The sequence below is a fragment of the Homo sapiens genome, chromosome 12 (genome assembly GCF_000001405.40).
Source record: "Homo sapiens chromosome 12, GRCh38.p14 Primary Assembly".
Taxonomy (NCBI): Eukaryota; Metazoa; Chordata; class Mammalia; order Primates; family Hominidae; genus Homo; species Homo sapiens.
The window spans coordinates 57,693,569-57,721,563 of NC_000012.12; the positions used below are offsets into that span (position 1 = coordinate 57,693,569).

Consider the following 27,995-nt stretch of genomic DNA (forward strand, 5'->3'; position numbering starts at 1 on the left):
CCGCATTATTTCTCTAGGATTTTTACTGGAGGTCATTTTACTGGAGGTCAACTGCAGGATCGTATAGGAAGGTTTTGACACAAATTTTCTGATTGCCTCAAAGCAATATGTATATATGAAAAGAGGTAAGCGTCCGTATAATAATTGTTTGTTTTGCAACAAGCATTTAATAACTTTCACCGGCACTGCGCACGCTACCTATCTGCCTCAATACTCCGCCCGGCGGTGGGCAGGATATAATGCAAGAGACGTCTGAAAAAGCAATGAGATGCGCATGACAGCTGGGCGAAGACAGAGGGCAAACTTAAAAGGACCAAGCGCATAGACCACGCCTCTGAAATTGGGGAACGAGGAGGGGTTTGATCTTGTCGATGATTGGCTGGTCTCTGACCAATCACGGACAGCGATTGATATTTCTAATCGTCGTGATCCACCTCCCCAGGACCTTGGAGCCACGTTTACAAATAGGAATAGGGTACGTGGGAGGGATAGAACGTACAGCCAATAAAATCATGTGGCGCCGATGGGCGTGTTGAGGCCGCTGCCTGGCTTAGGGCGGAAACAGATTCTCTGCATAAGAAGGGGAACGAAAGATGGCGGCGGAAACGCTGCTGTCCAGTTTGTTAGGACTGCTGCTTCTGGGACTCCTGTTACCCGCAAGTCTGACCGGCGGTGTCGGGAGCCTGAACCTGGAGGAGCTGAGTGAGATGCGTTATGGGATCGAGATCCTGCCGTTGCCTGTCATGGGAGGGCAGGTGAGAGGCGTATAAGGGGCGAGGGTCTGGGCAGAAGAGGAAGCGGGTAAGAGATAGAGGAAGAAGGGCAGCTCCGGAGTCTGGGGCTGGAGCCTACGGGGAATCGGGAAGAGTAGGTATTGCTTTTACGGTGACCCCTGGGGGTCGCAGACTGAGACCAATTCTCTGGGGGCCAGGAATTGGGAGAGGTGGGGCTTCCCGCTGTCAACCTTCAGGTCTCAGTTTATGATCGAAACACCCGGACTCCGCCCCCGTGGAGAAATGGGAGCGCCCTCTCCTCTCACCCACTAAATACAGCTGGAGGGCTTATGGCTTATTCTGTCTTCGACTGATCTCTTCCCCAGGGTTTGAAGAGGGATTTCGTTGTTCTCCCTGATCCCAGCCTTTCTTTGCTTCCTTGCCCCCCGACCCTCCCTTCTTTCCCAGAGCCAATCTTCGGACGTGGTGATTGTCTCCTCTAAGTACAAACAGCGCTATGAGTGTCGCCTGCCAGCTGGAGCTATTCACTTCCAGCGTGAAAGGGAGGAGGAAACACCTGCTTACCAAGGGCCTGGGATCCCTGAGTTGTTGAGCCCAATGAGAGATGCTCCCTGCTTGCTGAAGGTGAAAGGGACTGGGTTAGATAGAATGAGGGCTTGGAAACTAGCAGTTCATCCAAGAACTGGAGTCCACTGAATGAGGCAGGATCTAGGGGACCTGTAGTGGTTAAGAAGACCACTGGAGGAGTAGACAGATTACACGGACAGGAAAGAAGCAAAGAATCCTGCAACCACTGATGACACTTTGCTGAACGTAGGAGCAGGTTAGGATAGAAGATCTCAGAAAAGGGCTAAAGCAAGATTGAGGGTCTGCGTGGGGTAGGAGGAGTACTTCCTTAAGCCTACTTGCTAAAGTCACCCCCTGCCCTATCACTCTGCTCCAGTATCCTGTTTTATTTTCATCGTAGCACTTTTCATGATCTGAAATCATATTTACTGAATCAGTTTGTTTATTTTCGGTCTGATTCCCCGCATTAGAGTGTAAACTCCATGAGGTCAAAGAATTAATCTTGTTCACAGTTGTATTCCCAGTGGCCAGAACAGTGCCAGGAATGTTCAAGAAGTTCAATTAATATTTAATTTTGGGTTCTTCTATGTTTCCCTAATATAATTGCTTCAGGGATACCATAATTTCTTATCTTTATGGAGGGCAAATAAGGATTTAAAAAATCTTTTAAAAGGGAGGAATGGAAAGACCACAAGTGGAAAACAGACTTTAGAGATATCTCTCCAAGTCACAGAAGGAAAGCAGCCCTCCCTCCTTACTGAAAGTCTGGAGAATTGAGAGTGGAAGTGAAGGGAAGAGAATTGAGTGTGTAAGTAGATGAGAGGTTATGTGTCTTGGAGCCAGGAGACTCTGGTTCCAAGAAAAGATGTCTGCACTCCATCCCCCTGATTGTTTATTTTTTAATTGTCAGACAAAGGACTGGTGGACATATGAATTCTGTTATGGACGCCACATCCAGCAATACCACATGGAAGGTAACTCACTCCTATATTTTCCTTAAGCCCTTAGTGTCATATCATGGAAGTTCCCCAGTTCCCTCCTCCTCCTCCTCCTCTTAAGAGTAACAGTGCTTCACTGTGGCTTCCCTTGCAGATTCAGAGATCAAAGGTGAAGTCCTCTATCTCGGCTACTACCAATCAGCCTTCGACTGGGATGATGAAACAGCCAAGGTGGCAAGAGTGTGGGATTCAGGAAGAAAGGGTTCTGGCCACCGGCTGAGAGCCCTGACAAGAAGGGGAGGGTCAAGATTAGCTGATCTGTTTCTTGGGGCTTGGTGGCCATTAGGACAAAGTTTCCTGGGGCCTGGGGGCACAGGCCATTCTTTTGTCTCTTTGGGGACGCAGTGCCATCCTTCCTCTTTGCTATCTTTCTCATGTCCCCCATTCCTGCCTCATGTCTTCTCCAGGCCTCCAAGCAGCATCGTCTTAAACGCTACCACAGCCAGACCTATGGCAATGGGTCCAAGTGCGACCTTAATGGGAGGCCCCGGGAGGCCGAGGTTCGGGTGAGTCTTGAGAGAGGGAAGTTGACACTCCCACAGGGACAGTTCAGATTCTAAGGGAAGAGGGTTGCATCTTATAGTCGGGGCGGGGGCGGGGGGGGTCCCCTCCCAGACCCTAAATCCAAAGTTTAAAACATATTTCCAGCCGGGCGCAGTGGCTTATGCCTGTAATCCCAGCACTTTGGGAGGCCGAGGCGGGCAGATCACCTGAGGTCAGGAGTTCAAGACCAGCCTGACCAATATGGTGAAACCCCATCTCTACTAAAAATACAAAAATTAGCCGGGCGTGGTAGCGGGTGCCTATAGGCCCAGCTACTCGGGAGGCTGAGACAGGAGAATTGCTTGAACCTGGGAGGCGGACGTTGCAGTGAGCCGAGGTCGTGCCACTGTGCTCCAACCTGGGTGACAGAGTGAGACTCTGTCTCAAAAAAGAAAAGAAAAAAAAAAACCCACATTATTTCCAGGCCGGGCACGGTGGCTCACGCCTGTAATCCCAGCACTAGATATCTCTCAAAACTCTCCTATGCTTTCTTGTGGTCGGTACCTTCACTCTCGCCTGCATCCCTGCAAACAGCTTCTTTACAAGTGCTTCTCATCTAGTGGTCCTTAGCTGAGTGGAGGCAGGCAAATATAGAATGCAAAAAGTTCCTTGGGTGATTCTCATGTATTCACAAATATACACACCTGTAAAGAATTACATGACACCTGCCAGAGTTATCTTTCCATAATGCAGATTTGTACCTGCAGTTGTGTGCTGGTAAGTGTTGGACCCCCAGATCTCTATGGGTGTGGGAGGGAAGCCCTGATCTGTAATGTTTGCCAATGCCTGTGGTATAAATACTCCCATGATGCGCAAGTCAAATGATGTCAACTGTCTTGCAACATTCTCCAAAACTTACCAGTTGGCTCCAACACACCTGTAAGTCTGCATCACTTCTCTGTTCAGTCCTGAAAAACCTTCAATGTTTCTGCCTTGCACAAAGGCTAAGAGCCAAATGTTTCAGCACAGACCAGGGTGGTGGCAGTGGAGGTGATGGGAAGTAGTTGGATTCTGGATATATTTTGAAGGTAGAGCCAATGAGATTTGTTGATGGTTTGGATGTGGGATAGAATCATGGATTACTTCAAGATTTTTGGCTTGAGCAACTGGAATGATGGAATTGTAATTTACTGAAGTGTGAAGGAACAGGTTTAGGGGAGGAAATTAGGTTGGTTTTGGATATTGAAGGTTGAGGTGCCTTTAGACATCCTAGTGGTGATGTCCAGTTGACAGTTGGCTCTGTGGTTCTGGAATTCAGGGACAAGGTCTGGGATAGAGATATAAGTACTCATTGTATTTCTGCCACACTGGCCTTTTTCTGTCCTTCGAACCAGTGGGTCTCATTGTTCCCTCTGCCTGGTGCAGTCTCCTGCAGATCTTTAAATGATTGGCCCCATCCCCTCATTCAGGTTATATTCAAGTGACAACTCCCAGGGAACCTAACATAAGCAAACACACACACACACACACACACACACACGGAACCTAACATAAGCAAACACACACACACACATACACACACACACACACACACACACACACACACACACACACACCCTATTGCTCCTGTCCTGGTAAGCATCCACAGTGTTTTGCATTCTTCAAAGCATGTATCATTACTTGAAATTATTGTATTTGTTTAATTCTGTCTTCCCTCACTAAGATAAGCTCTGGGAAGGCAGGGATGATGTCTATCTTGTTTTCTTATGTATCCACAGCTCCTGGAACAGTGCTTCACTCAAATAGGTACCTAGAAATTATTCATTGAATGAATGAAATGACTGACAAGCCAGTTCTAATATCACCTTTCTTGATTAACCCAGAAAATTAGTTAGTTGTGTTCCTTCACCACTTAATAATACAAGCATCCACACACGTATATAATCCGTTATAGCACTTCATTGTATTCTAGTTATTCGTTTGGGTGTTTGTATCTTCAGTAGGCCAAGAACTGAGGTCAAGACTGCATAGCTTCCTCATATCTGGTGAACATATGCCCTGTGCCAAGCACTAATAGAAACTAGGAACAAAAAGGTGGATGAGACCTAGTCCTGCTCTCAGGAGATATGTTAAATGAACAGCCACAACAAGCAGGATAAATGCCATGAGCAGTGAAGTGCAGCCCGCAGGGGAGCACACAGTCGGGACAGAGTCCAGGGTGAAAAGGAGGCCTCTTGGGAAAAGTGACCTTTGAACTGACATTGGAGGATGAGGAGTTAGACTAGCAGATGGAGAGGATGGTGGGGGGAATGAGAGGGCATTCCAAATGGAAGGTGCGCTAAGTGCAAAAGGCCTGGAGACAAGAGGCAATGGCCTATCCCAGGAACTGACAGATACTCACAGGGACTGAGGGGATAATCATGGGAAGAGGAGTGTAGGAGATGAGTCTGGGTGGTTGGTAGGGGACAGGTCATGAAGGGCTCTGTAGCTATGATGAGGAATTTAGACAATCCAAGAGACAATGGTTAGGGGAGGCAATGAGGTATTTGAAGCAGAATGATGACATATTCAGGTTTGGAATTGAAGGCCCACTCTAGCTGGAGTATAGCAAAGATTGAGAGCTCACTTAGGCAGCTGTGGTAATCCAGGTGTGAAATAAAAGTGGCCTGGGGATGAAGAAATGTGAATATTTAGAGACAGATTTAGGGGGTAAAATCAACAGAGTAAGAAGGAGTCAAGAATGATTTCCAGGCTTTTGGCTTGTGCAGTTAGATAGAGGGTGATTCGTGTTCCTGAGATAGGTATAATGAGAAGAGGAGTAGGTATGGTGAAGGAAAATGGTGAGTTTGGCTTTGAATATGATTTTAGTGGCTGCTAGGCATTCAAGTAGAGATTTCCAAGGGGGCTGTGGATCTCTGGGTCTGGAGTTCAGCAGAGAGATCTGAATTGAACCCAGAGGTGGGGAGTTGTCCTTGTATCAGCCATAACTGAAGCCAAGGTATGGATGAAATCCCCCAAAGAAAACAGTATCTAATGAGAAAAGTGGGATGGAACTTCAAGGAAGCCATCACTAAGAGCATGGGAAGAAGAGGGTTTTGCCAGAAGAAAGGGCCAGAGAGGAGGCTATGGTGACATGGAAACGAGGAAGGACACATTTGAAGGGGAAATTGGTCCATGGTGTTGGCTGTGCCTGAACCTTCAAGGAAGAGGAGGATTAAAAACTGCTTATAGGCAATCATAGTCATTATTATTTTAATAAAGGCAAAACATGTACATGGAAATAAAAAATTCAGACAGTAGAGAAGAGAGCCAGATGGAAAGTATAAATTCTCTACTTCCAGGCACCCCTGACCAGTCCTTTGGTTGGACTTAATGATAGAGATCATTGGTGATCTTTGCTGGGGCAATTTGAGCAGAGTTGTGAAGATGAGGTGTTGAGAAAAGTGGTGAAAAAGTGGAACTCTGCTGGGCGCGGTGGCTCATGCCTATAATCCCAGCACTTTGGGAGGCCAAGGCAGGCAAATCACTTGAGGTCAGGAGTTCAAGAACAGCCTGGCCAATATGGTGAAACCCCATGTCTACTAAAAATACAAAATTAGCCGGGTGTGGTGGTGGGCGCCTGTAATCCCAGCTACTCGGGAGGCTGAGGCAGGAGAATTGCTTGAACCCGGGAGGCGGAGGTCGCAGTGAGCTGATATCGCACCATTGCACTCCAGCCTGGGTGACAGAGTGAGACTGTCTCAAAAAAGAAAAAAAAGAAAAGAAAAAAAGAAAAAGAAACTGGAAATCTTTGAAGAAGTTTGGATATGAAAGGGAGATAAAAGGTAAGCATTAGTGAGAGGTGCTGGGGGGTTGAGAGAGGGGGCATTCTGTGGTTGGTGTGTGTTTTAAGATGGAACAGACTAGAACATGTTGAAGACTTGGGTGAATGTTAGTGGAGAGGAGGAGAGGGAAGTCAAGGTACAGTAGAGAGAATGTGAAAAGAATGTGGACAGGGATGGGATGCAGAACCCTGGGAGAGCAATTTGCCTCAAAAGGAAGGTCTAGGGTCGTAACTGGAATGGTGTATTTGCTAGTGAGTCTGGAGGTTTTGGTGGCAGAAAGTTGAGGCCATTCCTGTCTGGTTGCTTCTAGTTTTCAGTTCTTATGCCACTTGCCTAGGTGATCAGGTAAAGCCCCTACTCCAGGGCAGGCACTGTGATGTGTTGCTGGCCTGATGCCTCCTCAATAGGAACAGCGTGCATGTTGTTTAAAGTGCAGTCTCTGTGGGGCTAGGGAACAACTGGTTAGCTATATGGAATTAAATAAATTCCTATTTATTGGTGTGTGTTTTAAGATGCAACAGACTAGAACATGTTGAAGGCTGTTGGGTGGATGTTAGCGGAAAGGAGGAGAGGGAGATCAAGGTACAGTAGAAAAAGTGAGAAAAAAATGCGGACAGGGCTGGGATGCAGAACCCTGGGAGAGCAATTTGCCTCTAAAGGAAGGTCTAGGGTAGTAGACCAACTCAATTCTTATAAAGTAAGATTCTAGAGATATCAAAGATTTTTTTAAGTTATAAAACATACAATTATACAAAAAAAAATGTCATAGAGACCCATAAATTCACTGCCAAGTTAAACAGATGTTAATGTTTTGCCTGATTTGTTTCAGATCTCTGGTTTAAAAAAAGGAATAAAATGCTTGTGCTAATAGCTAAAGCCCACCTTCATATTTAGTCACTCTCCCTCCCGCCAGAAACAACCACAACCCTCACTATGTTTGTTTTGTATTTTTATTACTGATATATATATTACAGACAATAGATAGTGTTTTGTGTTTTAAAATTATACATCAGGAGTATCAACTTGTTTTTTTCACTGATCAGTGTGTTTGCCATTCAATGGCATGACATGGAACTCTGGTTGAGTGATTTTTTTTTTTTTTTTTTTTTTTTTTTTTTTGAGACAGAGTCTCGCTCTGTCACCCAGGCTGGAATACAGTAGTGCAATCTAGGCTCACTGCAACCTCGGCCTCCTGGGTTCAAGCGATTCTGCTGCCTCAGCCTCCTGAGTAGCTGGGACTATAGGTGCCCACCACCACGCCCAGTTAATTTTTATATTTTTAGTAGGGAAGGGGTTTCACCATGTTGGCCAGGCTGGTCTTGAACTCCTGACCTCAAGTGATCCACCCACCTTGGCCTCCCAAAGTGCTGGGATTACAGGTGTGAGCCACCGTGCCTGGCCTGGTTGAGTGATTTTAATGTCTGTATTGTGTTTCATTGCTTACTTACCCATTCCTCTGTTGATAAACAGTTGGGTTTCAACTCTAATGCCCTTATACACAGTGCTGCAATGTAGGTCTTATTGTGAGTGTACAAGAATTTCTCCAGGGAAATACCTAGAAAGTAGAATCACTGGGTTACAGGAGTGTATGTTATTGGTGAATTCAATTTTTTGTTTGTTTTGTTTTGTTTTGTTTTTTGAGATAGAGTTTCACTCTTGTTGCCCAGGCTGGAGTGCAATGGCGTGATCTTGGCTCACTGCAACCTCCGCCTCCCAGGATCAAGCGATTGTCCTGCCTCAGCCTCCTGAGTAGCTGGGACTACAGGCGCCTGCCACCATGCCCAGCTAATTTTTGTATTTTTAGTGGAGACGGGGTTTCACCATGTTGGCCAGGCTGGTCTTGAACTCCTTACATTGTGATCCGTCCACCTTGGCCTCCCAAAGTGCTGGGATTACAGGTGTGAGCCACCATGCCTGGCCCTCAATTTTTTTAATGATTGAAAAAATATATAACCTAAAAGTTATCATTCTAACAGTCTTTAAGTGTACAATTCAGTGGAAACATTCAGTGTTCTATCACCATCACTACTATTTCCAAAACTTTTTTCATCATCCCAAACAAAAATAACTCCTATTTCTCCCTCTCCCAGACTCTGTTCTACTTTCTGTCTGTATGAGTTTCCTGTTCTAGGTACTTCACATGAGTGAAATCATACAAGATTTGTCCTTTTGTGTCTGGCTTATTTCACTTAGCATGGTGTTTTCAAGGTTCATCCATGTTGTAGCATATATCAGAATTTTATTTCTTTTTATGGCTTAATCATGTTCCATTGTCTGTATATACATTTTGTTTACCTATTTATCAATGGATGGACAAATAGGTTTTCATCTTTTGGTTACTGTGAATAATGCTGCGATGAACATTGGTGTACAAGTATCTGTTTGAGTCCTGTTTTCAATTCTTTTGGGTCTGTACCTAGGAGTAGAATGTGCCTTATGGTAATTCTAGGTTTAGTTTTTTGAGGAACTGCCAAACTGTTTTCCATAGCAGTTGCATCATTTTACATTCCTAGTAGCAGTGCACAGGGTTCCAGTTTCTCCACACTACCTCCATCACTTATTTTCCTTTGTTTTCTTTTTCTTTTTTTTCAGTAATAGCCATCTTAATGGGTGTGAAGTAGTATCTCATAGTGGTTTTTGATTTGCATTTACCTAGTGATTAATGATGTTGAACATCTTTTCATATGCTTGGTGACCATTTGTATATCTTTTTTGGAGAAATGTCTATTCAAATCCTCTGCCCATTTTTGAATTGAGTTGGTTTTTGTTGGTGAGTTGTGAGAGTTCTTTATGTAATAAATTCTGAATATTAATCCCTTATCAGATCTATGATTTGTAAGTATTTTCTCCCATCCTGTGGTTGCCTTTTTACTATCTTTTGTTTTGCTTTGTTTTTTGGAGACAGAGTTTCACTCTTGTTGCCCAGGCTGGAGTGTAATGGCGCGATCTCAGCTCACTGCAACCTCCGCCTCCCAGGTTCAAGCGATTCTCCTGCATCAGCAGTGTCCTTTGGTGCACAAAAGCTTTTAATTTTGATTTCCAAGAGTTTTATAGTTTTAGCTCTTAAATTTAGGTCTTTGATTCATTTGAGGTTAATTTTTTTTTCTTAGAGATGGGGGTCTCGTTATGTTGCCCAGGCTAGCCTCAAACTCCTGGGCTCAGGTAAGCTTCCTACTTCAGCTTCTGAGTAGGTGGGATTATAGGGGTGTGCCATTGTGCCCAGCTGCTGATTTTGAGTTAATTTTTGTATGTGGTGTAATTTTTGCATATGGTCCAACTTCATTGTTTTGAATATGGATATCCAGTTTTCCTGGCATCGTTTGTTGAAAAGACTGTCCTTTCCCCATGGAATATTCTTGGTATCCTTACCAAAAATCAGTTGACCATATATGTGAGGGTTTATTTCTGGCCTTTCTATACTATTCCATTGGTAAATATGTCTGTCTTTTTGCCAGTATCACACTGTTTTGATTATAGTAGCTTTGTATTAAGATTTAAGTCAGGAAATGTGAGTCCTCTAACTTTGTTCTTTTTTTAATATTGTTATGGATATTTGGGATCCCTGGACATTCCATGTGAATTTTAAGATTTTTTTTTTTCTATAAAAAACACCATTGGATGCCTTTCATTTCTTTTTCATTCCTAATCACTCTAAAACTTCCAGTATTATGTTGAATAGAAATGAAAAGAATGGCTGTCCTTGTCTTGTTCCTAATCTTAAGGGAGAAGCTTTCAATGTTTCACCATTGAGTATGACGTTAACTGTGGGTTTTTCTTATATGGACTTTATCAATAACTGAAGACATTCCCTCCTATTCCTAGTTGATTGTTTTTTTACATGAAAAGGTTATTGAATTTATCAAGTCCATTTTCTGCATCAGTTGAGATGATCATTTGGGTTTTTTCCCCTTCATTCTATTAATGTATATGACATTGATTTACCTATGTTGAACCATCCTTGCATTCTTGGAGTGAATCCAACATAAATCATGATGTATAATGCTTTTAATATGCTGCTGAATTTGGTTTGCTACCATTTAGTTGAGGAATTTTGCATCTATATGTATAAAAGATATTAGTCGCCGGGAGTGGTGGCTCACACCTGTAATCCCAGCACTTTGGGAGGCCAAGGCAGGTGGATCATCTGAGGTCAGGAGTTCGAGACCAGCCTGGCCAACATGGTGAAGCCTCATCTCTACTGAAAATACAAAAATTAGCTGGGCGTGGTGGCGCACACCTGTAATCCCAGCTACTCGGGAAACCGAGACAGGAGAATCGCTTGAACCTGGGAGACGGAGGTTGCAGCAAACCAAGATTGCACCACTGCTCTCCAACCTGGGTGACAGAGCAAGACTCCATCTCCAAAAAAAAAAAGATATTAGTCTATTGTTTTCTTGTAGTATTTTGTAGTAGTATTGTCTAGCTTTGATATTATGGTAATGCCAGCCTCACAGAATAAGTTAGGAAAGCATTCTTTATAAATTTCAGATTTAATTATTTGTCACCTACATTCTTTCTATCTATACTTTGTCTTCTTGTTTTGTTTATAGTGTCTTAAATGAATTTTAATTTAAAAAATTTAAATTCCAATATAGTCAAACTTATCAGTCTTTTTCTTTATACCTTATACATCTTATGTCTTTTATTTAATCCTTTCCTATTTACTATTCATCTGTTTTTTTCAGGTTTCTAAAAAAGTAGAAAAGTGTGAATAGAGTTTCTCATACTTTGGACTACAATTCAGTAAAAATTTATCTTAATGTATGTTATAAGGTTAGGACCTAGATACACCTATTTTCCACAGTTGCCCCAGCACTGTTTATTGAATAGTCCATACATTCCTCTCTGATTTGTAATGCCTCCTCAGTTATTTACCAAGTTCTCAAATATATGTGCATTTTCTTCTTGGCTTCTCTTTTGTTCCAATAGTCTATCTATTCCTATGTCATTACCACGTTGTTTTAATTACTATAGCTTTTTCATAAATCTTGGTATCTGGTAGGATATACTCCCCTTTTTTCTTCAAAACTGTTGGGGCTATCATTGGCCAAGTTCTGTTAAAACTCCTTTTGGGGATTTTGGCTGGAATTTAATTTTAGACTGATTTGAAGAGAATTGATACTTTATAATATGAAGTCTTCATACACTATGAACGTGTTTGTTTCCATTTACTTGTTGTCCTATATTTTAGTAAAGCTTTAATTTTCTCTAAAAGTTCTTCTACATCTTATGTGAGATTAGTCTAGATACCTTATAGTTTTTATTTTTGTCTTGTTTGTGTATGCATATATTTCAAACATACAGGACCTTATAGTTTTAGATGCTATTTTAAGTAGCATCTTTTACAAATTTCATTTTCTTTATTATTATTATTTTTTGAGATGGGGTCTTGCTCTGTCATCAAGGCTGGGGTGCGATCTTGGCTCACTGCAGCCTCTGCCTCCCAGGTTCAAGTGATTCTCTGCCTCAACCTCCCGAGTAGCTGGGATTACAGGTGCGTACCACCACGCCCAGCTAATTATTGTAATTTTTTTAGAGCGGGGGTTTTGTCATATTGGCCAGGCTAGTCTCAAACTCCTGGCCTCATGTGATCCACCGTCGGCCTACTAAAGTGCTGGGATTACAGGCAATGAGCCACTGTGCCTGGCCAAAAATTCCGTTTTCTGATTGTTGCTGGTACATGGTCACATTATTGGTTTTACATATTGATCTTACACTCAGCAACTCTTTTTTGAACTCTTTCATTTTTAGTAGTTCACAAATTCTTGTGGATTTTCTGTATAGATAATTATGTCATCTGCAAGAGAAACAGTTTTGGTTTCTTCCTTTCTAAGTTGTATACATTTCATTTTTCTTATACCTCGAGTGCAACAGAAGTGGCAATGATGGGCATCCTTGACTTGTTTCTGACTTTAAAGGGGATGCTCCTGAAGTTTCACTGTTAGCGTGATGTTTTCCTGCAGGCTTTTTGCAGATACCTTTTATCAGGTATGTGAAGTTCCATTCTGTACCTAGACTGCTGGATATTTTCACCATGTATAGGTGTGGAAGTTTAACACATGCTTATTCTGTGTCTATTGAGATAGTCATATGGTTTTTTTAATATTAAAAATGTTAATTTATTTTCTAGTTTTTTTTTATTCTTTCACTTCTGGGATAATCCATGGTCATGAAGTTTTTTTTTTGTACATTGCTATATTCAGTATCCTGATAGTATAATTAACTTTTATAACTATTTTCGTAAGTGAATTGGTCTATAATTTTCTCTTCTTGTACTTACCTTGTTTTTGTATAAAGTTGCATTCACTTCATAAAATATCTTGAGGAGCTTCCCTCTTTTTCTGCTCTGTGGAGCAGTTTGCTAAGATAGAGATTATTCTTCAAAGGTTAGGTAGGGTCGGGTGTGGTGGCTCATGCCTGTAATCCCAACACTTTGGGAGGCCAAGGCAGGAAGATTTCTTGAGCCTAGGAGCCCAGCCTGAGCAACATAGTGAGACTCCTGTCTCTCAAAAAAAAAGTTTTAAATTAGCCTGATGTGGTGGTGTACACCTGTAGTCCCAGTTACTTGGGAGGCTGAAGCAGGAGGATTGCTTTAGTTGGAGAGGTTGAGGCTGTTAGGAGCTGTTATCACGCCACTGGACTCCAGCCTGGGTGACAGAGCATGACTCTCTGAAAAAAAAAAAAAAAAAAAAAAAGTTTAGATAAAATAAATCCTCCCCATCCCCACAATATGCTACAAAACCGGTATATTGGGGGGATCGTTGTTGCTACTGATTTAATTTATTTAAAGATTATAAGACTTTTTTGGTTTGCTGCATCATGAAGCTTTAATAAAGTATAATTTCATAGGCCATTATTCATTTGTCTAAATTTTCAAATGTATTAGTATAAAATTACAGATTTTTTTGTTTTTTAATAATCTCTTTTTGTAAATATATCCTCTTTTGCATTCCTAATATTGACTTTGCCTTTTCTCTTTTTTCTTGATCTATGTTGCCAGAGGCTTGTCTAGTTTATTAGTCCAATAACCACCTTTTGGTTTTGTTTATCCTCTCTGTTGTTCATTTAGTATTTCACTAACATTGTATTAGTCCATTCTCACATTGTTATAAAGAAATACCTGTGACTGGGCAATTTATAAAGAAAAGAGGTTTAATTGTCTCACAGTTGTGCTGGCCATACAGGAAGCATAGCAGCCTCTACTTCTGAGGAGGATTTAGGAAGCTTCCAATCATGGTGAAAGGCAAGTGGGGAGCCAGAGTCTCACATGGTGGAAGCAGGAGCAAAAGAGAGAGGGGGGACATGCCACAACCAGATCTCTTGAGAACTCACTCACTGTCACGAGAAAGCACCAAGGGGATGGTGCTTTATGCTCCACTATGCCCAGCTAATTTTTTTATTTTTAGTAGAGACGGGGTTTCTTCATGTTGGTCAGGCTGGTCTCGAACTCCTGACCTCAGGTGATCCACCTGCCTTGGCTTCCTAAAGTGCTGGGATTACAGGCGTGAGCCACCGTGTCCCGCCACATGTTCGTTATTTTATCTTTGTTATTTCCTTCCTTCTCCTTTCTTTGTGTTATTCTGATTTCTTTTTTTTCTAACAACTTGAATTTTTTTTAACATTAAAAAATTCTGGCCAGGCATGGTAGCTCATGCCCTATAATCCTAGCATTTTGGGAGGCCAAGGTGGGAGGATCACTTGAGGCTAGGAGTTTGAGACCAGCCTAGGCAACACAGTGAGACCCTGTCTCTATGGAAAAAAAAAAAAAATTAGCCAGGTGTGGTGGCACGTGCCTGTGGTCCCAGCTACTTGGGAGGCTGAGTTGGGAGGATCTCTTCAACCCAGGAGGTCAAGGCTACAGTGAGCTATGAACACACCACTGCACTCCAGCTTGGTGACAGAGCAAGACATCATCTCAAATTTTTTAAATAAAAAATTCTATATTAAATTTTCTGAATAGGCATAATCACATTCACATAACTCAACTATAGAAATGCTTAAAAGGTATACAGAGAAAAGTATTAACACATCTTGTCCCTCATTAGCCTCTTTCCATCCTTAAAGAAAGGTAACCATTGTTAATTTCTTTATATACTCTGAGATTTTTTTAAATGCACATATAAGCATATATCTTTGCACTCTTTCCAAATCAATATATATATAAAACCTTACTTGGGCCAGGTGTGGTGGCTCATGCCTGTAATCCTAGCACTTTGGGAAGTGGAGGCAGGAGGATCGCTTGAGGCCAGTAGTTTGAGACCAGCCTAGCCAACGTAGTGAGATCCCATCTCTACAAAAAAATATTTAGCCAGGTGTGGTAGTGTGTGCCTGTGGTCCCAGCTGCTCAGGAGGCTGATAAGGGAGGATCTTTTCAGCCCAGGAGGTCAAGGTTGCAGTGAGCTATTGTCATACCATTGCACTCCAGCCTGAGCAAAAGAGTGACACTGTCTCAAAAAAAAAAAAAAAGTCATCCTTATTCCTGCATATAGTTTCTGTTATTCTGTTATATAGTTGTATCATTTTTTATCTAAATGGTTCCCTGTTGATGGACATTTAGCTTGCTTTAAATCTTTTATTAACACACAAGTGCTGCACTGAATAATCTTGTACTTACAGAGGATATGTAAATTGAGTTCCTGGAAGTAAGTTTGTGTAGTTTTGCTATGTGCTGCAGTAAGTTTGTGTAATTTTGCTACGTGCTGCGAAATCACTCTGCTTAGGTAAATTACTTTCCCTCCAACAACGTATGGGAATGCTGATTTCCCTATAGCCGTGCCAACCTGGTATATTTTTAAACTTTTGGATTTTGGCCAATCATCAGGTAGGCATCAGAGAAAGAATGATTTCTTAGTGTGGTTTTAATTTGCATTTCTCTTAAGAAAAAAATGTCTAATTTTCCTCATTTAAGGGTTTTCTCTACTCCCTTCTTTACTCTTTTCTTTCAGCTGTCCAAATTCTTTGCTCGTTTTCCTAATGGCTTGCTGGTCTTTTTCTTGTCAATTTATAAGAACTCTATATAGTAGAGATATTGTCCTTTTGTCTGTGATGTGAGTTGCAAATATTTTTATAACTTCTTCAGCGAAATGCTTTTCAATCTGTCTTCTCTCTTAATTATACACTTAAAGCTCTACATTTCACTCTGAGTACTATTTTGGTTGCATCCCTCAAATTTTAGTATGTGGTGTTTCCATTTTCATTATGGTTTCTACGTGCTTCTGAACTTATTTAGAATTATGCTTAATATATTTCTAAACAAATGTGTTTTGCTTTGTTGTTTTTATATGATTGCTATTGGTTTCTAATTTTATGCCATTGTGTCAGTGATTCTTTTGGTGATTGCTGAGACTTTCTTTTTGATGAATTTTTAAAAAATTGTATGTTTGCGCTTGAAAGCATGTCTTTTCTCCAATTAAGCAGTTCAAGATGCTCACCGTATTGTTCAGATTTTCTACAATTTTATGTTGAGTTGACTAGTGATCATTTAAAGAACTCTGTTAATATTCCCACTGTGATGGTGGATTTGGCAATTTTGTTAATTTTTTATTTATATGTTTTAAGGCTATGTTTAATTTTGAAATTAAATAATTTATAGGTTTTCTAATGTTGCACCAACTTTGCATTCCTGAAATGAACCAAATGTGGTCATATATATTATCCCTGACGATCCCTTTTTTTTTTTGTTATTACTTTTTTTTTGAGACAGAGTCTCACTATGTCACCCAGGCTGGAGTGCAGTGGCATGATCTCGGCTCACTGCAACCTCTGCCTCCCAGGTTCAAGAGATTCTCGTGCGTCAGCCTCCCAGGTAGCTGGAATTATAGGCGTGTGCCACCATGCCCAGCTAATTTTTGTATTTCTAGTAGAGATGGGGTTTCGCCATGTTGGCCAGGCTGGTCTCAAACTCCTGACCTCAAGTGATCCGCTCACCTTGGCCTCCTGAAGTGCTGGGATTACAGGCGTGAGCCACCCGCACCTGGCTGTGGGTAGATTTTTAACTACTGATTCATTTTCTGAAGTAGTTTTAGGAATATTCAAAGTTTTCTGTTTCTACTTGGGACAGTTTAAGTTTTCTTTTCAGGAGTTCATTTCATCTAACTTTTAAGATTTATTGGCATAAAGTTCATTGTATTCTTCTATCTTTTTAATCTCTGTGGCATCTGTAATTAGGTTCCTCTTTTCATTCCTCATGGGTTATTTTTGCATCACTAATTTGTTACTGGTCAGTCACATCAGAGGTTAGTCAGTTTTACTAGTTTTTTCAAAGAAACAATTTTTGGCTCTGTTGAGCTTCTCTGTTGTATTTGTTTTCTATTAATTTCTACTCTAATCTTTATTTTCCTTCCTTCTACTTTTCTGGGTTTATTTTACTGTTTGTTCAACTTCTTGAAATGAATGCCTAGCTCATTCATTTTCAGCTTTTCCTCTTTTATATCTCATAAATTTGTCTCCAACCATCTATATATCTCTGACAAGTTTTTAATGGCTATTTTAAATTCCTTATCTAATTATTAAATAGATAATACTTTCCCATGATACAAAACCCAGAAAGTATTATTTAAAAGGTATGTAATGAAATATTTCCCACCTGGTCATGGTGGCTCATGCCTGTAATCCCAGCACTTTGGGAGGCCGAGGCAGGCGGACCACCTGAGGTCAGGAGTTCAAGACCAGCTTGGCCCATATGGTGAAACCCTGTCTCTACTAAAAATACAAAAATTACAGGGTGTGGTGAGGCATGTCTGTAGTCCCAGCTACTCAGGAGGCTGAGGCAGGAGAATCGCTTGAACCCAGGAGGCAGAGGTTGCAGTGAGCCGAGATCACACCACTATGCTCCAGCCTGGGTGACTGAGCAAGACTCCGTCTCAAAAAAAAAAAAAAAAAAAAAAAGAGAAAAATATTTCCTCCCATACTTGTCTCTCATCTGCTCATTTCCCATTCTCTCCCCGCCATCCCTGCTCCAGCCCCACAGGTTAACCCTGGTCTTAGTTTTGCATGTATCCTTCCAGCCTTTTTGTGTGATTACAAACAATTATGAATGGAGATTCTTATTTCCTTTCCCCTTTATTTATAAACAATATATAGTAAATTAAACACACTGTTCTATACCTTGCTTTTATTTCCCTGGACAATAAACCTTAGAGAGATCTTTCAATGGCAGTATATCTTTTTTTTTTTTTTTTTTTTTTTTTTGAGACGGAGTCTTGCTCTGTTACCCAGGCTGGAGTGCAGTGGCGCGATCTCTGCTCACTGCAACCTCCACCTCCCGGGTTCAAGGGATTCACCTGCCTCAGCCTCCCGAGTAGCTGGGACTACAGGTGTGCGCCACCACACCCAGCTAATTTTTGTATTGTTAGTAGAGATGGAGTTTCACCATGTTGACCAGGATGGCCTTGATCTCTTGACCTCGTGATCTGCCCTCCTTGGCCTCCCAAAGTGCTGGGATTATAGGCATGAGCCACCATGCCTGGCCCTTTTTTGTTTTTATAGCTGCATAAAATTCCATTGTGTGTTCCATCATTTTGTCACCATTATTCTACTGGTTGAAATAGTTCCACCCCCAATTCTTTTGTTGTCACAAATGATTATTACATTGTACATATATGCATGTGTAAATATATCTTACATATAATTGGGCTGGGCACAGTGGCTAATGCCAATATTCCCAACACTTTGGGAGGCTGAGGAGAGAGGATCACTTGAGCCCAGGAGTTTGAGACCAGCCTGGGCAACAGAGCAAGACCCTGCATCTATTAAAAAAGAAGAAAAAGAAAGTAAGCAAAAAAAGCATAATTGCCAGGTGCAAGTTATGGATATTTAAAGATTGTCTTTTTTAAACTTTTTATTACAGAAACTTAAAAACATATATAAACTCCCTACAAAGGTGTATCTGTGGTTCCCTGTCTTTGGACACATAGGATGGTATTCCTGTTCTCTATTTCATTTATTTTTGTCCTAGTCTGTAGTCTTTCCCTCTGCTGGCTCTTGGTTTAGTGTGTTCTTCTTTTTCTAGTTTCTTAAGATAGAAGGGTAGATTATGGAGTCAAGATTTTGTTTTTAAAAAATTGATGTTTATAGCTATGAATTTCCCTCTAAGCACTACTTCAGCTGCATCCTGTAAGTTTGGATATGTTATGTCTTCATTTTCGTTCATTTTTGAGGTATTTTATAGTTTTCTTTTGATTTTTTTCCTTTAACTCACTGGTTACTTAATGAGTATATTGTTTAATTTCTACATATTTCTGAATTTCCAAATTTTTTTCCTCATTCATTTCTAATTTTATTCCATTATGGTCAGAGAACACACTTTGTGTGACTTAAATTCTTAATTCTTTGAATATATTTATTAATATAATGGCTACTTTTAACTCTTTGTGAGATCCAACATCTGGGCCCTCTCACAGGTGGTTTCTGTTGCCTGCATATTTTCCTATATATGTTTCATACTTTACTGTTTCTGCATGTTTCATAATTGTTGAAAATCAGACATTTTAGATAGTATGTTGTAGTAACTCCAGATAGAAATTCCTGCCCTCCACCCCATGGCTTTTGTTTGTTCATTTGTTCAGTGACTTGGCTGCACTACTTGCATTCAGTCTCCCCCTCACAACATGAAGCCTCTAGTGTCTCTTCTCAGAGTGCACGGTCTTGGCCCTGCACACAGCCACACTAGATGACAGTGGTTTCAGCAGGCTTTTTGACTGTTTCTTTCATGAATTTGTTAAGCCATCTGCCTCTGCTGGTATCACCCCCAGCTGTTAGGCTCCATTCATTGCCAACTAATTGCTTTATTGTTTTTGACATGTGGGGCATAAGTTGTTCCATAGTTTAGTCCAGTTAATTGTGGGCCCCTTTGTCGGGCTAGTTTTTGAGGGCAATATATAGGTTTGTTCTGAGTCCAGGACGGCTCTCAGTTGCCCTTTCCCTGGTTCTCTCTGTTAAACTAGCTGTCCCAAGGTTTAGCCTGTTGCTATCATGGAGCAATCAGCCTCCTTTTAATTGCCTCCTGCCAAAATCTCTACATTTTTGAAGTGCCTATAGGCTTGAATTTCCCCATACTCTGTTTCATATTAAGTCAGGTCCTTTGGAGAATGTTTTGGAGCCCTGTATTCTTACGGACTGCCTCTCCCCCTGGGCAAAATCCCCGAGGCCCTGCTCTGGAGTTGGGGTCAGGAATAATGGCTTGCTTCACTTGGAAGGACATTCCTGCTTTATGAGCAGGGAGCTAGGCAGGGATGACAACCTCTGCTCTCTCGGTTTGCATCTCCTTTTGTGAAACCTCCACTCTCTGAGCAAGCTTCCGTGAGGGCAATCAGGGCCCCGATACTTTTGTCCCACTGCACTTGAGGTAAAGCCTCTGCCCTGTGGGTGGGGCTGAGTGGAGGAAGGGAGCCCTTGATCTTTTTCAGGAATTTAGTTGCTGTATCTTGGAGCTGGTGGCCCTCCTGGTAAAATACCATATATCATATCTCATGACTGGATGTTGAGAGAATAGGAAGTCCCTCCCCCTCCACCGCCCCACCCCACTTTTTTTTTTTTTTTTTTTAACTACGCTTACCTGCTGGAGTGGAGCTTTAGTCTAACTGAGCTGTGGGGTAGGGGTTTGGGGCATAGATTGAGGGAGCATGTCATGGTTCAAGTGCTGCAAATTCTCACTATTCAAGATTTAGTAGCTGGGCATGGTGGCTCACACCTGTAATACCAGCACTTTGGGTGGGAGGATTGCTTGAGCCCTGGAAAGCCTGGACAACATAGCGGGACCCTGTCTCTACAAAAAAATTTGTAAAAATTAGTTGGATATGGTGGCACACACCTGTAGTCCTACCTTGGGAGGTTGAAGTGGGAAGATTGCTTGGACCTAGGAGGTTGAGGCTTCAGTGAGCTGTGATCATGCCACTGCACTCCAGCCTGGGTGACACAGTGAGACCCTGTCTGAAAAAAAAAAAAAGATTTAGTAGATTTTCTTGAGTAAACATTTCTTCATTTGTTATATGTCCTTAGGAAAATTTCCAAAGAGTTTAAATGCTTTATGTTTGTTTGTTTGTTTGTATTGAGACAGAGTTTCACTCTTGTTGCCCAGGCTGGAGTGCAATGGTGCGATCTCGGCTCACCGCAACCTTGGCCTCCCAGGTTCAAGCAATTCTCCTGCCTCAGCCTCCCGAGTAGCTGGGATTACAGGCATGTGCCACAAGGCTGGCTAATTTTGTATTTTTAGTAGAGATGGGGTTTCTCCATGTTGGTCAGGCTTGTCTCGAATTCCTGACCTCAGGTGATCCACCTGCCTCGGCCTCCCAAAGTGCTGGGATTACAGGTGTGAGCCACCGCGCCCAGCCATGCTTTGTGTTTTTAAATTTTCATCAGTAATGGAGTTTCCCTGTGGAGTGTGCGAAATCCCTCATGCTGCCATTTCAGAAGTAGGACCGCTCCCACTTTTTGTTTTTGAGACAAGGTCTTGCTTTCCACACGGGTTGGAATGCAGTGTGGCATGATCATAGCTCACTGTAACTTTGAACTCCTGGGCTTAAGGGATCTTCCTGCCTCAGTCTCCCAAGTTGCTAAGACTACAGGTGCACACCACCACACCTCGCTAATTTTTAAAAATTTTTTGTGGAGATGAGTCTCACTATGTTGCCAAGGCTGGTCTTGAATTTTTGGCATCAAGCCATCCTCCTGCCTTGGCCTCCCAAAGTGTTGGGATTACAGGTGTGAACCACCAGCCTCTCTTACTTTTAATAGTTATTTTAGAAATTAGAATATTGCATGCTTAATTTATCAAAGGCCAATCAATCTCTTTACCCTCTTTCTGAATGATATAAGAATCTTAGAATTGTTTGAAGTTTTTTACCATATGCACATATATAAAAATTACATATTTATATACAAATATATATACACTTTAAAAAAAATACAGGCCAGGCCTTGTGGCTCATGCCTGTAACCCCAGCACTTTGGGAGGCCAAGGTGGGTGGATCACCTGAGGTCAGGAGTTCAAGACCAGCTGGGCTAACATGGTGAAACCCTGTCTCTACAAAAATACAAAAATTAGCCAGGCATGATGGCAGGTGCCTGTAATCCCAGCTCCTCGGGAGGCTGAGGCCGGAGAATCGCTTGAACCCAGGAGGCGGAGGTTGCAGTGAGCTGAGATCATGCCATTGCACTCCAGCCTGGATGACAGAGTGAGACTCCATCTCAAAAATAATAATAATAATAATAATACATATATGAAGCAAATAAAAGTATATATATACACACACACAATATTTATACAAAACAAGAATATGAAACATAAATTGGTTACCTACAGTTAAGCTGCCTGAATTCAGTTCCTGTTTTTACCACTTAAAGGCTGGTCAACCTGAACAAGTGCCTTAACTGCACCACACCTGTTTCTTGAGGCACGAAGTTGAGAAACCAATATCGCCTCACTGGGTCTTTGTGATAAGTGAGCCAATTTATGTAAAGTGCCATATGCACAGTGTATGCACAATGCTTGACAGATAATCAGTGCTTAGTAAAAGACACCTGCTCTAATAACTAAAGCAAATTATTGTTGGTGATTAAGTGTATTCATCCTTTCTGTCCTGGCAGTTCCTCTGTGACGAGGGTGCAGGTATCTCTGGGGACTACATCGATCGCGTGGACGAGCCCTTGTCCTGCTCTTATGTGCTGACCATTCGCACTCCTCGGCTCTGCCCCCACCCTCTCCTCCGGCCCCCACCCAGTGCTGCACCGCAGGCCATCCTCTGTCACCCTTCCCTACAGCCTGAGGAGTACATGGCCTACGTTCAGAGGCAAGCCGGTGAGTAATTAGAGAAGGAGGAGAAGACGGGGAGATACGGGGGCAGGGGGTGGCAAAAGATCAAGTATTGAATAGCTGGAGGAATGTGTTCCTGGCCTGCTTGCATGCTGTTTCTCAGTAGACTCAAAGCAGTATGGAGATAAAATCATAGAGGAGCTGCAAGATCTAGGCCCCCAAGTGTGGAGTGAGACCAAGTCTGGGGTGGCACCCCAAAAGATGGCAGGTAGGACCTTGTTTCACCTGTTCCGTGAAACTCACTTCCATTTCTTCCCTTCCCCTGATCTTACTGTCCTGACTGACTGGTGGGGTGGGGGGGGGTGGAAAAGTACCATGGGCCCTCCTCCCTTGGTGATAGAGGAGGGGAAGGGACCCCATCCTATTTGCTCCCTTCTGTCTCACCCCTCCTGTCAGATCAGTCTCTCCCTGTTCTCTGTACCCTAGGTGCGAGCCCGACCAAGGATGACAGTAAGGACTCAGATTTCTGGAAGATGCTTAATGAGCCAGAGGACCAGGCCCCAGGAGGGGAGGAGGTGCCGGCTGAGGTGAGACCAGCTGCCTCAGAGGAGCAGGATGGGGATGGGGAGGGTCACTGCAGCTGGGGCCATTGTGAGGTGACCTACATCTACCTAGGGATGCAAGGATATCCCCAGAACCTTTGCCTTCATAGTATGGAGGGCATGAACAGGCTTTCATACTTGACTCTCTCCTTTTCTCCTCGTCAGGAGCAGGACCCAAGCCCTGAGGCAGCAGATTCAGCTTCTGGTGCTCCCAATGGTGAGTGAACCTTCCATGTCTCCTTTACTGAATATATTTTAGGATTGGCAGGGGTAGGGATGGAGGGGAGAGCTAAGCCTGGGAGGGAGGTTGGGTAGCCAGGCCGGCAGAAAATTCATTTTTATAGGAGTTAATACTCTTTGTAGACAGCACTGCTATTTTAGCAAGGTGGCAGAACACAGTGGCTCCACCACTTGGTGACTTTGTAATTCACTTAACCTCAATTTTCTTACCCATAAAATGAGGGTAATAACCCCTACCTTAGAGGGTTGCATGGGATTAAATGAGAATGCATCCATAATTCACAGTAGAAGGCCTGGAACTGAATAAACTAAATGGTTAATATTTGTGGAAAGAGGAGAAGGGTTCCAGGGAAGACAAGCCCTTAGCCCCAGGATCTCCTCTGTAGTCCTAAAAGCTAGAGTGACTGCCAGAAGGGCCTCAGAAGTGCATGGAAGAGTGGGGACTTAGCAGCTTGTTAGCATCCATCTCTCCTACCAGAGTGTCCACCTTAGGATGGTGCTCTCTGCAGGCGAATATTTGCCCTTGTCTCACTGTCAAACAGGTAAATCCTAGAGGCAGGGACCATGTCCTTCCTTGGTCTCTCATTACCTGTCCTTAGGAATCCAGAGAGAATTTAGGAGCGCAGTAGCGCACACCTGTAATCCTAGTTACTTGGAAGGCTGATGCAGGAAGATTGCTTGAGCCCAGGAGTTCAAGATCATCTTGGGCAACATAGTAACACACCATGTTGAAAAAGAAAAAGAGCCGGGCGTGGTGGCTCATGCCTGTAATCCCAGCACTTTGGGAGGCTGAGGCAGGTGGATCACCTGAGGTCAAGAGTTCAAGACAAACCTGGCCAACATGGTGAAACCCCATCTCTACTAAAAATACAAAAATTAGCTGGGTGTGGTGGCAGGCGCCTGTAATCCCAGCTACTTGGGAGGCTGAGGCAGGAGAATCTCTTGAACCCGGGAGGCAGAGGTTGCAGTGAGCAGAGATTGCACCACTGTGCTCCAGCTTGGGTGACAGTGCAAGACTCTGTCTCAAAAAAAAAAAAAAAAAAAAAAAAAAAGAATTTAAACACAACAGAACAGGTTCATGATTATTATTCTTTCATCTCAGATTTTCAGAACAACGTGCAGGTCAAAGTCATTCGAAGCCCTGCGGATTTGATTCGATTCATAGAGGAGCTGAAAGGTGGAACAAAAAAGGTATAGGCCGTGCTTAGGGAATGGGTAGAACCCACCTCCCAACTGCGAGCATTTGAAAAACTACCCTGACCTGGGACTCAACTCCTGGGTCCCCCAGTACCACACACCTGCTACTGTTTGTCTGCCCCCGACCATGTGTCTCTGTTGAAACCCCAACTGTCTTTCTCCCCACTCCCTACCCACCCAGGGGAAGCCAAATATAGGCCAAGAGCAGCCTGTGGATGATGCTGCAGAAGTCCCTCAGAGGGAACCAGAGAAGGAAAGGGGTGATCCAGAACGGCAGAGAGAGATGGAAGAAGAGGAGGATGAGGATGAGGATGAGGATGAAGATGAGGATGAACGGCAGTTACTGGGAGAATTTGAGAAGGAACTGGAAGGGATCCTGCTTCCGTCAGACCGAGACCGGCTCCGTTCGGAGGTGAAGGCTGGCATGGAGCGGGAACTGGAAAACATCATCCAGGAGGCAAGCCCAGCTCTTCCTCCTGTTGCTTCCACAGCCGCCTGGTCCCGTGGAGCAGGACAGGCTGACGGGCTAAAAGAAACAGAGGGCACAGCACAGGGCAAGGACGGGGCACTTGGAAGTGGTAGCTGTTTCCCTAATTAATCGGGGCTGTTGGGGAAGGGGGACCAGAGAGAGGGACAAGACTTAAATATCAGACTCTCTGGCCAGGCGCGGTGGCTCACGCCTGTAATCCCAGCACTTTGGGAGGCCGAGGTGAGCGGATCACCTGAGGTCAGGAGTTCAAGACCAGCCTGGCCAACATGGCGAAACCCTCTCTACTAAAAATGCAAACAAATTGGCCAGGCATGGCAGTGGGTACCTGTAATCCCAGCTCTTTGGAAGGCTGAGGCAAGAGAATCGCTCGAACCCGGGAGGCGGAGGTTGCAGTGAGCCGAGACGGCACCACTGTACTCCAGCCTGGGTGATAAGCAAAACTCCATTTCAAAATATCAGACTCTCCTACAGAGCCCAGCCCGCTGGCTGCCTCCACACCCCAGACCCTTGACTCACTCTCTTCTCTTGGGTATTCCAGACAGAGAAAGAGCTGGACCCAGATGGGCTGAAGAAGGAGTCAGAGCGGGATCGGGCAATGCTGGCTCTCACATCCACTCTCAACAAACTCATCAAAAGACTGGAGGAAAAACAGAGTCCAGAGCTGGTGAAGAAGCACAAGAAAAAGAGGGTTGTCCCCAAAAAGCCTCCCCCATCACCCCAACCTACAGGTGAGAGCAGTCAGACAAGAAAGAGTAGCCCAGTCTGTTGTTTTCATCCCTCAGCTGGTTCTGTTCCCAGAGGGGACCCTGTTCCTTCCCTTCTGAGGGTGCTCATTCTCTCCCCACTTTCTGGAACACTGTCCTCACTTGCGCCTGCTTCCCAACACCATCATCCCTTTGCGTGTTTACCTCCTATTCATCCCTCTGGGAAGCAGCTTTTAGAGCATATCTGCTGGTTTTCTGGTTTGCTCCTGTACACCCAGTGCCTAGCACTCTGCCTGGCACACAATGGATGATCAGTAGCTAGTAATTGAATGCTTGTGAGTCTATATGCTGAAAACCACTTTAGGACTTTGCACCAAGAGAGGCCCCAGCTGTCAGGGCATGAATAGGAGAGCCCAGCTGCACATGAGCCAATAGCTTGGATAGACTTTAAATTATTTCTTCTTCTTGTATCCCCTTGTGTCCATTTCATAGTGTCCTATGGGTGTGGACATCAGATATTCTAAATGGAATGTTCCAGTTTCAAACCTTCCATTCCCACTCTCTCTATAAACATTGAAATGTCTTTAAAGTCCCAACATATGGAGGAGGAGACCACACTTTTCCAACCTGCTTCTTCAAACAGAACTTTGTTGGTGCAGGTGGCCTGATTTTGGCTTTAGAAAACATTTGTTTTCCTATAGGTGACGGGCAGAATTATTGGGTAGGGCGGGAAGATGGAAGGCTGCAATTGGTGGAGGGAGCTCTACAGGCTGAACTGGGAGGGGCGGGGCACACATTTTTTTGAGCCCTGGCTCATATACATGTTGAGATGGAAGAGCTGCCAAAGCCAACTGATGTTTTAGGGGGAGATGACCCCCACACCCCTAACCCTGGAGTCACGCCTCTGCTTTGTGTTTCCCTGTGTGTCTCCCCCTCTAAGAGGAGGATCCTGAGCACAGAGTCCGGGTCCGGGTCACCAAGCTCCGTCTCGGAGGCCCTAATCAGGATCTGACTGTCCTCGAGATGAAACGGGAAAACCCACAGCTGAAACAAATCGAGGGGCTGGTGAAGGAGCTGCTGGAGAGGGAGGGACTCACAGCTGCAGGTGGGCCCTGGAGGGCGGCTGGACCCAGTGCTGTCGGAAGGGCAAGCTGCCGGAAGTGGAGGGGCTGGGACCAGTGGGGCAGGGGGCCTGCCCTGAGGCTCCCAACCATCCTCTCCTCTCACTGCATACTGCTCCTTTCCAGGGAAAATTGAGATCAAAATTGTCCGCCCATGGGCTGAAGGGACTGAAGAGGGTGCACGTTGGCTGACTGATGAGGACACGAGAAACCTCAAGGAGATCTTCTTCAATATCTTGGTAAGAGGCTTCTACCCCCGAGTCCTGGCCCCCAGCCCTCCTGGAGTGGAGGTGCGGGCTTGCCCCAGCCACGCCATTGCTGAGCTTCCATTTCCTGATCTGTAAGACAAGGCTGGGGTTCCAGTGGCTCAGAGTGCTGCCATGCAGGAAGAGCCCCTCAGGACATGGGTGTCCTCATTCCCTGCCTTCCCCCAGCTGCCTGGCCCAGGACTTCCCTGGGCTCAACGGCCAGTAGCTCCAGCCCACCTCTACCCTCTCCCACCAGGTGCCGGGAGCTGAAGAGGCCCAGAAGGAACGCCAGCGGCAGAAAGAGCTGGAGAGCAATTACCGCCGGGTGTGGGGCTCTCCAGGTGGGGAGGGCACAGGGGACCTGGACGAATTTGACTTCTGAGACCAACACTACACTTGACCCTTCACGGAATCCAGACTCTTCCTGGACTGGCTTGCCTCCTCCCCACCTCCCCACCCTGGAACCCCTGAGGGCCAAACAGCAGAGTGGAGCTGAGCTGTGGACCTCTCGGGCAACTCTGTGGGTGTGGGGGCCCTGGGTGAATGCTGCTGCCCCTGCTGGCAGCCACCTTGAGACCTCACCGGGCCTGTGATATTTGCTCTCCTGAACTCTCACTCAATCCTCTTCCTCTCCTCTGTGGCTTTTCCTGTTATTGTCCCCTAATGATAGGATATTCCCTGCTGCCTACCTGGAGATTCAGTAGGATCTTTTGAGTGGAGGTGGGTAGAGAGAGCAAGGAGGGCAGGACACTTAGCAGGCACTGAGCAAGCAGGCCCCCACCTGCCCTTAGTGATGTTTGGAGTCGTTTTACCCTCTTCTATTGAATTGCCTTGGGATTTCCTTCTCCCTTTCCCTGCCCACCCTGTCCCCTACAATTTGTGCTTCTGAGTTGAGGAGCCTTCACCTCTGTTGCTGAGGAAATGGTAGAATGCTGCCTATCACCTCCAGCACAATCCCAGTGAAAAAGGTGTGAAGCACCCACCATGTTCTTGAACAATCAGGTTTCTAAATAAACAACTGGACCATCAATCCATC

The 27,995-nt window shown here is 44.0% G+C and overlaps 1 protein-coding gene across 11 annotated transcripts, besides 2 other annotated features; it reads left to right on the forward strand.

Annotated features, from left to right (window-relative positions):
• Nucleotides 193–767: an enhancer, noted in NCBI's record as "OCT4-NANOG-H3K27ac hESC enhancer chr12:58087544-58088118 (GRCh37/hg19 assembly coordinates)". NCBI's record gives its function as "activates a minimal SCP1, AML or CMV promoter by ChIP-STARR-seq in naive H9 embryonic stem cells {active_cell/tissue: H9 hESC(naive)}" and the evidence as "EXISTENCE:reporter gene assay evidence [ECO:0000049][PMID:30033119]".
• Nucleotides 564–27,989, forward strand: OS9 (OS9 endoplasmic reticulum lectin). Of its 11 annotated transcripts, none has more exons than NM_001410980.1 (15): nucleotides 564–755; nucleotides 1,182–1,358; nucleotides 2,212–2,275; nucleotides 2,394–2,470; nucleotides 2,707–2,805; nucleotides 22,192–22,402; nucleotides 22,521–22,625; nucleotides 22,844–22,944; nucleotides 23,125–23,176; nucleotides 24,302–24,390; nucleotides 24,578–24,853; nucleotides 25,425–25,614; nucleotides 26,531–26,695; nucleotides 26,838–26,950; nucleotides 27,216–27,989. In NM_001410980.1, exons 1-15 carry the CDS (start codon nucleotides 594–596, stop codon nucleotides 27,339–27,341), a joined length of 2,007 nt encoding a protein of 668 aa, NP_001397909.1. In that variant the 5' UTR covers nucleotides 564–593; the 3' UTR covers nucleotides 27,342–27,989. The 11 variants fall into 11 exon arrangements, with proteins under 11 accessions (NP_001397909.1, NP_001397907.1, NP_006803.1 ...); NM_001410978.1 differs by having other exon boundaries at nucleotides 24,578–24,808; NM_006812.4 differs by having other exon boundaries at nucleotides 22,524–22,625.
• Nucleotides 755–804: an enhancer, noted in NCBI's record as "active region_6550". NCBI's record gives its function as "activates an Ori minimal core promoter by ATAC-STARR-seq in GM12878 lymphoblastoid cells {active_cell/tissue: GM12878}" and the evidence as "EXISTENCE:reporter gene assay evidence [ECO:0000049][PMID:35858748]".